General features: G+C 45.5%; 1 annotated feature.

Moving 5' to 3' along the window:
* Positions 4747-5247: an enhancer, noted in NCBI's record as "OCT4-H3K4me1 hESC enhancer chr15:62643087-62643587 (GRCh37/hg19 assembly coordinates)". NCBI's record gives its function as "activates a minimal SCP1, AML or CMV promoter by ChIP-STARR-seq in primed H9 embryonic stem cells {active_cell/tissue: H9 hESC(primed)}" and the evidence as "EXISTENCE:reporter gene assay evidence [ECO:0000049][PMID:30033119]".

Consider the following 13126-nt stretch of genomic DNA (forward strand, 5'->3'; position numbering starts at 1 on the left):
CCAAAATAACAATGGGGCTTCACAGATATAATCACTTTTATTTTTGTGGGTTTTTTTTTCTCTTTTTCATGTAAAAGTCTAGGGACAAGCAATTCAGGGCTGGATTGTGGCTCTGTCCCTCCCACTTCTCAGGAAACCAGCCCATTTCCATCACTATTCTGCTGTCCTTAGAAAGTAGTTCTTATCTTCATGGTCCAAAATGGATGCCAGAACTCCAGCCATCACATCTATGTTCCAGGCAACAAGGTAAAGGGGAGATCAAAGAGAAGGGGAGGAGCACGTGCTAGCACATTTTAAGGAAGTGTCCTAGAAGCTGGAACAGCAATTCTGCTTACATATCATTGTCCAGGCCTTAATCACCTGACCCCACTAAGTGCAAGGGAGGCTGGGAAATTCTGGAAGCCAAATGATAAAGTATGTCTGTTGGGAAGAGGGTGGTGGGTTTCTTTGAGTCCCAGCCAGTGACCTTATCTTCTTCTTACTTTTTCTGTCCCTAATGCCCATCGTCTGCTGCCAGTGTCCAAAGCCTATGTTGTGCCAGTGCTCCACAAACCTCTTCTTCCAATGTGTTCTGCAAATAAACAGGACTGCTGCTGCTGTATATTTACTGCTAGGGGCTCAAGTGCAGGAGGTACCTTCAGAATAAGGCTTTTATGTTCTAGAATGGGGGTTGGCAAACATTTTCTATGAAGAGCCAGATAGAAAATAGTTTTGCTTTTGTGGCCCATGCAGTCTCTGTTGCAACAACATACTCAACTCTGCCATAGTAGTGTGAAAGCAGTCATAGACACTATGGAAACAAATGAGTGTGGTGTATTCCAATAAAACTTTATTTGGGGACATTGAAATTTGAATGACATATAATTTCCATATGTCATGAAATTTTATTCTTTTGGTTATTTTTCAACTATTTAAAAATGTGGCCCGGGTGCGGTGGCTCACACCTGTAATCCCAACACTTTGGGAGGCTGAGGCAGGTGGATCATTTGAGATCAGGAGTTCAAGACCAGCCTGGCCAACATGGCGAAAACCCATCTCTACTAAAAATATATATAAAAAAAAAATTAGCCAGGTTTGTGGCATGTGCCTGTAATCCCAGCTGCTTGGGAGGCTGAGGCAGGAGAATTGCTTGAATCCAGGAGGCAGAGGTTGCAGTGAGCTGAGATCGTGCCACTGCACTTTAGCCTGGGTGACAAAATGAGACTCCACCTCAAAAAAAAAAAATAAATAAAAAATAAAAATGTAAAAACTGTTCAGTTTTGGCCCATGAGCTGTAGTTTACCAAGCCCTGCCCTAAAAGACGAAGGCATAGGATAATCATTATAAATGTCTTAGATATATGACATTGTAAACGACTAGTGGTGGTGCTGAGCTAAGTCCTGTACACAATCCTCCCATTAACACATGCATAGATAGCATCTGATTTTATAGATGAGGAAACTGAGGCCCAGAGAGGCTAATTAACTTATCTAAGATCACACAGCCAGTAAGTGATCAAGCCTCATGCAGTTTGTGTCAAGTCGCAGCACTGTGTCAAACTGACAAGGCTGTGGAAACTGCATGAGGAGGCTGGAAGGAAAGATTGAAAGAACAAGGAGGGAATATCCTACGAAGGCTCAAGGGGACACAGAGGCAGATGCCTGCCCAGAGCAACTTGGTGGTAAAGAGTAGACTCTAGGGTCAGAAGCCAGGTTCAAATCCCCACTCCACCATCTGTTAGCTGTGTGGACTTAAGCAAGTCATAGGACCTCTCTGAGCCTTATTTCTCTCATCTGAAAAATAAGGATAATGATATTACTTCCCTCATGGAGTTGCTTGGAGTGAAGTGCTTAGCTGGCACCTGGCACAGAGTCACATTATTGTCAAATAGAGGTCCAAGGAGTTTAGGATGAGGGACAATCTGTGTCCTTACTGTGAGGAGGCAGGAGAAAGGGGCTTTGGGAATGGCATTGCTATTTCAGGAAGTATTCAAATACTTAAACAGAAACTCTTGGGCCTGTGCTAGATGGGAGGAAAGAACCCGGGAAATTGAACTTGCTGCTTTGGGCTTTCACACCATGCACTGGGCTGTGGGTGGAGAGGGTTGGAGAAGAGAGAACAAGACCCCACCCAGGGGAGCTGCCTAGCTTGTGGGAAGATGAAACACTTAGATTTGAAAACTAAGAGATCATGTGCAAAGCCGTATTTCGTTACCTCCTGCCTCCAGCCCTGCTCAGCCACAATCACAAAGACATTTTCAGGAAATGAAACCCCCTAAACACAGCAGGCAGGATACTGGGAGCTCCAGCTCAACCAGATCAGGGCTTGAGAAGCATAGGTTTAGAGATTGACTACACAACAGAATCCCTGGGCAGCTTGTTCTCAAATATAGATAGCTGGGCCTCACCCTCTTGGAGATTTCTATTCCGCAGGTATGGGGAGGGTCCCAGGAATATGCAGCTTAAAACTTTTTTAAAAAAACTTTTTATTTGGAGATAATTGTAGGTTTACATGCAATTGTAAACAAAGTACAAAAAGATCCTGTAGGCCTTTCACCTACCTTTCCCCGGTGGTAACACCTTGCATGACTATAGTACAATATCACACCCAGAAAATCAACATTGATAAAATCCAGCAACTTTATTCAGATTTTACCAGTTTTAACATGAGCTCATATGTGTGTGTCCTTAGTTCTGTGTGATTTTATCACATGTGCAGATTCATGTAACCGCCACACAGTGAAGACAGGCAGTTGCATCACACAGATCTCTTGTGCTACCTTGTATATCTGAAGCCACTTCCCTTCCTCCCTCACCACATCCCTAACTCCTGGCAACCGCTAATCTTTTCTAAGACAAATATTTTTTGTAGCCTTTTCAGGTAACTGTGGACATTCTTTGATACTCTGTAAGTAGTGCCTCTCTCTCTCCTTTTTTTAGACAATCTCCCTCTGTTGCCAAGGCTGGAGTGCAGCGCTGTGATCATGGCCCACTGCAGTCTTGAACTCCCGGTCTCAAGCAATCCTCCCATCTCAGCCTCCACCTCCCCGTGAGTAGCTGGGACTATAGGTGTGCACCACCACACCTGGCCAATTTTTAAGTTTTCTGTGGAGACAGGGTCCCACTATGATGCCCAGGCTGGTCTCAGATTTCTGGGCTTAAGCAATCCACCCACCTCCGCCACTCAAAGTGTTGGGATTACTGGCATGAGCCACCTCGCCTGGTCATTTGTTTGTTGTTGTTGTTGTTTATCTTCAGAGATAATTACTTTGCGTAACTGAAACTGTGTACCTTTTGACCAACACCTTCCCAATCCCCCTGCCCACAGCCCCTGGCAGCCACCATTCTGCTCTCTGCTACTGTGTGTGACTACCTTAGAGCTCACATTCCAGAGGTCATGCAGCATCTCTGGCTGGCTTATTATTTCACTTAGCAGCATAATATCCTCCATACTCATCCATGTTGTCGCAAATGCAATATTTTCTTCTTTTTAAAGGCTGGATAGTATTCCAGCATGCATATATACCACATTTTCTTTATCTGTTATCTATTGAGGGACACTTAGTTTGATTTATGTCTTGGCAATTGTGGCTATGTGCTGCAATCAACACAGGTGTGCAGCTATTTCTTTGAGGTCTAGATTTCACAGGAATATGAATTTTAACAAACACACCAGGTGATTCTGATGCATGCCAAGACTTTAGAAGCATGGCAGGGCCGGGTGTGGTGGCTCACGCCTATAATCCCAGCACTTTGGGAGGCCGAGGCGGGCGGATCACAAGGTCGGGAGATGGAGACCATCCTGGCTAACACGGTGAAACCCCATCTCTACTAAAAATACAAAAAAAAAAATTAGCTGGGCGTGGTGATGGGCACCTGTAGTCCCAGCTACTCGGGAGGCTGAGGCAGGAGAATGGTGTGAACCCAGGAGGTGGAGCTTGCAGTGAGCCGAGATCGCACCACTGTACTCCAGCCTGGGAGACAGAGTGAGACTCCATCTCAAAAAGCAAAACAAAACAAAAAGCATGGCGGTAGGGAAACAGTGGTGGAGACCCTATAATCTTGGTGGAAACGGGAGCCAGTTGCGAAGCTTAAACTGCAACTAGGCTTCCAGGGAATCATGAAATAAATGTTGACTTTGTTTTTAATTTTCCAAACCCCAGTTAAATTCAACAAAACTGATTGAGAGTAATAAAGGGTGTAACAGAATGAGACCCTGATCTAAGCAGGCTCTTGAGCCAAAAGAGGGACCAAGGAGGTCGCAGGGCAGCTGTCTGGGTAGAGAAGGGGTGTTACTCATCCCCTGCTGCGGGGACACCGAAGCTCTGCAGATCAACTGTCCCAGCCTCATCTGCAGGAGAGGAGCGAGGGTGCGGGACTCAGCTGGGAGGGCCCCAGGACCCCTGCCTCAACAGCACAGTGGGGTGAACCTGAGGTGCAGACTGGCCCTTTGCTCCCCTGCGGCAGGGAGCTAATGAAGTTTTTCTAAACCGGTTTACTGGGCCACAGATATTGTCATCCATGGAGAACTCGAATTGTCAGAATCACCAAAGATTCTAAAGCATAGATGGTGCTGGTTCACTAGGCTCCACCGGACTCCTCCCCTTCTGACGCTCAGAGGCAAAGATCCTTTTCCTGATTTCAGGAGTGGGGCCGAGAACGGCCACAAGGAAATCGCATGAGCAGGGAGAGGATCATGGCAGTTCTGGGTGAGAACTCTGACTTCTGCGGATTAGAGGGCCCACGTGACGGTAATGGCCAGCCTTAGGGCCGGTGGGCAAGGGTCTGCGGCGGGGCGGACCCCACCTAGGTTTGCATGCTGACCCCGAGAGGCAGCAAGAGAAAGCAGAAGTTGTTTTCTGCCTGCAGTGGAGGATCAGGCGGTGCCTTTCCCTATTGCTTCCTTCTTGGGGCCCTGAGATCCTATTCACCCTGCAAGGAAACAAAAAGGCAATTAAATGAGTGGGACTAGAAAAGACTGATGGGAGGCCGGACACGATGGCTCACGCCTGTAATCCCAGCACTTTGGGAGGCCAAGGCAGGCAGATCACCTGAGGTCAGGAGTTCGAGACCAGTCTAGCCAACATGGTGAAACTCCGTCTCTACTAAAAATACAAAAATTAGCCGGGCGTGGTGGCGGGTGCCTGTAAGCCCAGCTACTTGGGAGGCTGAGGCAGGAGAATCGCTTGAACCTGGAAGGCGGAGGTCTCAGTGAGCTGAGATCATACCACTTCACTCCAGCCTGGACCACAGAGTGAGACTCCGTCTGGAAAAAATAAAAGGCTGACAGAGAAACAAATGGGAAAACACAGGGGAAGAAAGCCTATTGAGTAAGAGCCACAGAGAAAATAAGAGTAGAAACGGGAGTGAGGGTAAAGAAAAGGGAGATGTGAGCAGATACCGGGAAAAGGAGAAGAGGGCAAGCCCGCTTTAGAAAGAGCAAGAAAGCTGGTCAGTCAGGGTTCACCGTCTCAGCTTCTGAACCACATGGCCTGTCCGTGGGCTCTCTGACCTGGCAGGGCCTTCTTTGGGGCCAGGCAGGCTGGAAGCAGGCCTGTGGTCTTCCTCAGAAGGTGAAAGCTTTAGACATGGGGACAAGAAGACAAGGAGAGGAAGCCATTGGAGCAGCAGAGAAGGGGGTGGAGGAAGTGATCCTCCCTCATGATGTGGAACACGCAGTGGACAATGGGGATAACAGCACCCACTCTAAGGTTATTGAGAATAAAACAAGACAAGGCCTGTGCAGTAGCTACCTCAGCAGCATCCCCCAAGGACTGTTCTGAGAATGGTGATGACAGCCTGCACCATCCAGGGGGTCATGGGGACAGTATGGAGTTGATCCCAGAAGCATATAAGAGGCAGTCAAGACTGACTAGCTGTAGAAAGAAGAGCAGAAAGAGGCCAGGGGTAGTGGCTCATGCCTGTAATCCCAGCACTTTGGGAGGCCGAGGTGGGTGAATCACCTGAGGTCAGGAGTTCGAGACCAGCCTGGCCAACATAGTGAAACCTTGTCTCTACTAAAAATACAAAAATTTGCCAGGTATGGTGACACATACCTATAATCCCAGCTATTCAGGAGGCTGAGGCAAGAGAATCACTTGAACTCAGGAGGTGGAGGTTGCAATGAGCCAAGACTGCACTCCAGCCTGGGTGACAGAGCAAGACTCCATCTCAAAAAAAAAAAAAAAAAGAAAGAAAAGAGAGAAAGAAGAGCAGAAGGAAGACCCAAAGTCTGTTCCTGGATTTCTGTTTTGGGTAACTAGTGGGTGATCCTGACAGGGAATAAAGGAAATGTGGATTCTGGGGAGAAAATGAGTTGTTTTGTATTATTAACATTTATATCTGGGCAGAAAACTATAACGGGCCAATAAACATGAACATGTGCTCCTCCTCACCAGTAACTAAAGAATGAAAATGAAAACAAAGTCCTTATGTATCGGAATGGGATACAAAATTGAAAATATCCAGTAATGGCAAGGATACAACTGGCATTCTCATACATAGTTGATGGAAGTATAATGTAGAAAACCATTTTGGGGGACAATTTGGAAAGATTTATCTAAAATGTTAATTGTGCTGTCTGTTTGACCGCATCATTCCCCTTCAAGGAATTTATTCTAGAGCTTCCAAAGTTAAAAGCACAAGGCTATTCCCTGAAGCTTGTTTGTATTAGCAAGAACACCCCAATTCCTCCACGATCCAACCATGTGATCTTGGGCAAATTACTTCCCCTGCCTGTGCGTCAGTTTCCCCACTTGTAAAATTGGCACTCATACACACACACACACACACACACACACACACAGAACTAGCACTCGGATCATTCATTTGTTGGGATTAAATGAGAAAATGCAAGGCAAGCACTTAGCACGGAGCCTGAGCTGTGATCAGTGCCCAGCTAAGGTTAGCATTCCTGCTCCTCTTGCTAGCAGCAGGGGTTCCTGATGGGGCATTAATGGAGGGACTCTTAGGGAGAAAGGGAATAGCTGGGCTTTGGGGGAGCACTGCTGCATGAAGCTGAAAGCCCAGAGCAGATAGGAGAGAAAATGAGTCTGCTTCTAAAGTGCCCACTTCAATCACAGCAGGGAAGGAAGTAGGAGATTCAGAGACAGTCTAGAGAGATGTGTAACAACGGTAGATGGAAAGGAGAGGTAGCTGAGATTCTTTGTTTTTTGATTGGGGAAATCTATAAACCGATGAGCCCCAAGGTTCCTGTGGAAAAGTCGGCAGCCGGGCACAGCCCCAGAGTCTCGGGGTGGATTATTTAGTGCTCCCTTGTTGCGGAAGTGCACCTGGGCTTCCAGAACAAGCAGGGGTGAGGAGTGAAGGTGGCAAAAGAATGGCTGATCTGGAGCTTTGTGGCCTCACAGTGCTGGGAACCCAGTTTAATGGTTCTAGGATGACCTTGGGAACACGGAGGGTCTTGGGCTCATCGTCAGGAATGGGTCTGTGGTGTCATGAACCTGACTTTGTTCTCAGCAGCCGTGTCACATGGGGTAATCCATTGTCTGTACTTGAATTGGGCACAGCTCTTTTGCATTCTATCTGCCCACTTTTCTTACTGTCACTGCTCATGGGCTCAGAACTGCAAAGATGCTCTGGGCCTGAGCATCTGCTCTCCCCAGCCACACCAAACCTCCATGCTGTGTAGGGGATCTAGAACAGAATTTAAGGAGTAAACAGACACCTTACAGTGCATTTTGTGTGCTTACAAATAGCTCTTGAAATTTCACCCTTAGAGAGTCCTATGTTTTGGGATTCCACAAGTATTCCTGACAAATATGTTAACTTTCATCAGTTCACATCTGTGTGCAAATACGTGTAATCCCATTGCTTTTCCCTTGGAGCCGTGATCTGTTTAGAAAGACAGTAAGAGGTTTCATGAGGTGGATGGAGAAGAAGAGGGCGACTTCAGAACTCATGCCATTCACCAGGGGAAGGCAGGACTCAGCTTCATGATGAGGTAGGGGTTCTCTGACTCTTTTCCTTTTTCTTTTTTTTTTTTTTGTTTTTGAGATGGAGTTTCACTCTTGTCGCCCAGGCTGAAGTGCAGTGGCTCCATCTCAGCTCACTGCAACTTCCGCCTCCTGGGTTCAAGTGATTCTCGTGCCTCAGCCTCCCAATTAGCTGAGATTATAGGCACCCGTCGGCTAATTTTTGCATTTTTAGTAGAGACGGGGTTTCACCATGTTGGCCAGGCTGGTCTCAAACTCCTGACTTCAGGTGATCTGCCCGCCCCAGCCTCCCAAAGTGCTGGTGGCGTGAGCCACCACGCCTGGCCCTCTGACTCTTGAAAAGCTCTGGAACCTGGAGCAGGAGAGAGAGTCTCCAAGATAAACCTAACCAGCTCTACAGGGTGGTGGAAGCCTCGTAGAATGCAGAGATCACACGGCTGGGTATGGAAGATCTGCATTCCTGTCTCAACTTTGCAACTTAATAGCTGCATGGACCCAATTCACCATAGCTAATCTCTCTTTCCTAGGTTATAAAGGAGTCGGTCATGCCTGCCCCAGCGTTTGTTTGAATGTGACTGTGCTTTGAAAAATATTCCCAATGCCACCTAAGCTCAAGCACATTTTTTATCATTACTATTGGAAACATTCCACGAGGGCTGGCCTCAGGCAGGTCAACGTGAAAGCATGCTCTGTACGGCTGAGGCCGGCTGGCCAGCAGCCGTGGCTGCAGGTCTCTCAGAGTCACTCACAGAAGCACTGAAATGACCCACTCATTTTTGTTGAGATCAAAACCTTAAACGGAACAAGTCTAATTGACAGCAAGCTTCCTTCAAGGAACTTCAATGAACAATTCAGGGCCTGCTGATGCTGGGATAAGATGGACAAAGAACTCTGGGTTTGTGTTTCTGCCCTGGGGAGTGCCTCTGCCAGGGCAGGCAGCTGAGGTCTGTGCCTAGGTCTCTCTATTAAACTTCTTTCTCTTGGGCTGGGCCACAGAGCCCTGATTCACCCCACAGCAGCTCCCAGTCCTACCAAGCAAATGTGGGATGGGGCCTGCACTGGGTGCAGAGTGAAGCAGGTGCCCCGTGGGCACAATGTTGCGAGTGCAATAAAGAAATTGTATAGGACTGCCCCTGCTCATGTGGATGGGAGGGAAGATGTAGGCACACAGTGGGGACAATGCCCACTAGCATTTCATAAGTGCAGTGGTGGTAGGGGTGGAAAGAGCCCTGACCACAAGTTAGACACGGGTTCAAGTCCTTATTCTGCCACCTTCAACCTTTCTCAGTCTCAGTTTCATTGTCTGTAAAAACAAGGGTGAGACTGCCAGAGCTCTCTGGCCCATGGTTGTTATGAAGAGTTCTTGGTATTACGACACACCGTACAAATAACCTGTCATTATTAATGATGCATTATCAGCATTAATGATACATTGCTAACGATTCAAGTACTGGAGGGACCACAGTAGAGGTGATGAGATTTGTGTGGCAATTTGATGATCATGAAGCCTATTGGTAAATGTTCTGAAGATTTTTAGATACAAACGATTGCATGGTTTTACTTCATATCATAGAAGTCAGAGCTAGGAAAAGACAGATTAATCATCTAATTCAAGCACCTTATTTTACAGACAAGCTGACAGAGGCAGAGCCTAGAGACTCCATTTGATTTCTCTTTGCTTTATGCCATGCTTCTGGCACAGACTAGATGCTCAATACTTGTGCTCAGTACTAGTTGTTGTTGTTGTTGTTGTTGTTTTAGAGACAGGGTTTCGCTCTGGCTGGAGTGCAGTGGCGCGATCTGGGCTCACTGCAACTTCCACCTCCCAGGTTCAAGCAGTTCTTGTGCCTCAGCCCCCCAAGTAGCTGGGATTGGAGGCACATGTCACCACACCCGGCTAATTTTTGTATTTTTAGTAGAGACAGGGTTTTACCACGTTGCCCAGACTGGTCTCGAACTCCTGGGTTCAGCCAATCGGCCCCCCTCGGCCTCCCAAAGCACGCTAGGATTACAGGCATGAGCAACTGCGCTTGGCCATTGTGCTCAGTACTTAATGAGACAGAACTGAATTAATTCCCCCACTTAAGTCTTAGTGAGTGCAGGGCTGGGACTCTATGACACTGAATGGTGAGATGGAAGGAGAAAACAATAGGACCTGGGATCGACTTGCACATGCACTTTTTCAACAGTCCTCAAAGCATCTGAAATACTTAAAGTGCCTTTTAGACAAAATAATTCAATTGCATTATTCTATAAGTAATAAATGATATATTTATGTCTATGTGTACATACATAGTTTTTGGCAAGGGGAGGTGATGAGGAAAGAGAAAAGTGATCGTAATTCCTGCTGGTTACACATCCTGAACTGTAAGTTTTCAGGTATTTTAGTTTACAGGTAGCTCCTTCTCTTGCTGTTGAAAAAAAAATCCTCAATTTAAAATTAAATAATTTCTTATACATATGATATACACATATAGGTACATACATATGCACATTTGTATGTATGTATCTATCTAGTCTATACATAATTTGCTTTTTTTTTTTTACTATAAAAAATTGTCCTTCCTAGCTGCATAATTAACATTCCGTTTTACTGCAGCTCTTCAATATCCTTTGCCTGGCTACTTCCTCAAATGACCTAGATCCGTTTTGATCTCTGGATAGGGATAGCATGCTGCCTAGGGAAGATTCTGTGTTAGAAATTATTCAGGAGGTCTGGCTGCTTGTCAAAAGTCTTCTGCTCTTTACTACGGAGCTTGGTTTTCTCCTTGTGGTTGGGGCAGGCAGGGAACACGTGAACTAGTGTTACTTTACAAACATGTATGTAATAGGGCTTATGATCTGATAGCAACTTTCTAAGTGCTTGCAAATATTAACATTTAATCCTCATAACGACCCCATGAGTTGCCATTATTAACCCTTATTTAATAGATGAGGCTAAATAATTTATTTAAATTCTGCAATAATTTAGAAACCCTTGGAAAAGCCCTCTGCCAAGACTAACACCACTCTTTTTTCTTTCTTTCTTTTTTCTTTTTGGTGTAGTTGGCAGGATTTAATACCACTCTTCAGTGAAAAATGAAACTTATCTGATGACTGTCTCTAGTAGTAGATACTCTTAACTTTGGTGGGGGATCATACACCCCTTGAAGAATCTGATGAGGCCAGGCGCAGCAGCTCACGTCTGTAATCCCAGCACTTTGGGAGGCTGAGGAGGATGGATCACCTGAGGTCAGGAGTTCAAGACCAACCCGGCCAATATGGTGAAACCCCATCTCTACTAAAAATACAGAAATTAGCCAGGCGTGGTGGCGGGCACCTGTAATCCCAGCTGCTTGGGAGGCTGAGGCAGGAGAATTGCTTGAACCTGGGAGGCAGAAGTTGCAGTGAGTCGAGATCATACCATTGTACTCCAGCCTGGAGGACAAAAGCAAAACTCTGTCTCAAAAAAAAAAAAAAAAAAAAAAAGGAATCTGATGAAAGCTTTAGATCCCTTACATGGAAAATACACCTTCGTTGACGAATTAATCTCTATCCCAAAGTCATCCGTGGAATCCAAGTTAAAAACAGTTATTATAGTAGAGGAATGCGTCAGCACCCTCTGGGAGGAATTACAGCTTCTCTCCATGTGAACTCCAAACCATAGAGAGGGAAAGATTCTGGAATCTGCCTTATGCTCTGTGTGCCACATGCCCCTTCTTTTTCAATTATTCTAGATTAGAAATCATCTGGACAAATGAATAGCCATAGTGGTTATGAAAGGTGAGATTCTTGAGTACTTCCACATTCTGCGTCATATATTTCTGCAAATATTTTCCTGTAAGCATGTATGACTATTGTAATCAGACATAATATAAAGAAGAAAACCAAAGTTTGCATTACAGACAATCATAGATTTGCAAAATTTTGTGCGTACAAGGATATTCACTGCTGTTTTGCTTGCAGTCCTCCTACATAGCCTCGGTAAAGGAGAGGCTAACTCAACAATGGTGCCTCCTTCACTGGATTGCTGTGTGGCTGCTAAAAAACCTGCAGGGTAGCTCTGAATGTGCTGAGAGAGCCTCAGATATATTGTGAGGAGAATAAAGCAAGATATAACATGGTGTAGAGGGTACTACAATTTTGTGGAGGATAGAAAAATGAATATTAGTTGATGCATCTAATACCTTTAGGAGGATCAGAAAAACCGGCAAGAGTGATTGTTTCTGGGTCAGAGCAATAAGGGAGGCTTACTGTTCACTCTGTACCCTTTCATACCTTTGAAATGTGTTAAATTTATGTATTACCTATTCAATAAATAGATAAAAATTTGTAAAAAGAAAGAGGTCTTAAACATCATTGAGAATCAACTCCCTGTTATCTAAGAGCTTTCTTCCTACCATAGAAGCCTGCGTAGTCTGTCCTTTTTGCCTGGAACACCTTTCTGTACCCCAACCCAGCCTGCGGATCTCAGCTCAGTTGAGGTTTTCTCATCAGGGATGTCCCTGGCCTCCCGCGATAGGTCAAACACCCTTTTATCTGCTCTTGTAACACCCAATGGGCCTTTCCATCAAACACTTTCCCAGTTGCAGTTTTACATATACTCATGTGATTGTTCGATTCATGTTTGTCTCTCGCCATGAGGTATAAGCTACATGAGAGAAGGGTCTTTGATTTTACTCACCAGTATATCCATAAAATTTGGAACACAGGAATGTATTTGGTGCACTGGTATGGAATAGGGTAAATACTGAATGAATAGGGGAGTATATGTGCCGGCAACTACCCCTACTACTGGTCATCAGGCCCGTTCTTATTCATTATTATTAAAAAATTAATTTAAAATTTTTTATCTATTTATTTATTTTGAGATAGGTTATGAAACTGGCTAATTTTTATTTTTTGTTGTTTGTTTGTTTGTTTTTTTGAGACGGGGTCTTGCTCTGTCTCCCAGGCTGGAGTGCAGTGATGTGATCTCAGCTCACTGCAACCTCTGCCTCCTGGGTTCGAGCAATTCTCCTGCCTCAGCTTCCCAAGTAGCAGGGATTACAGGTACATGCCACCACGTCCAGCTTATTTTTGTATTTTCAGTTGAGACAGGGTTTTGCCGTGTTGTCTAGGCTGGTCTCAAACTCCTGGGCTCAAGTGATCCACCTACCTCAGCATCCCAAGGCGTGAGCCACTGCGCCCTGCCAGCCTGTTCTTTTTCTTTTT

Source organism: Homo sapiens, chromosome 15 (assembly GCF_000001405.40).
Source record: "Homo sapiens chromosome 15, GRCh38.p14 Primary Assembly".
NCBI classification, from domain to species: Eukaryota; Metazoa; Chordata; class Mammalia; order Primates; family Hominidae; genus Homo; species Homo sapiens.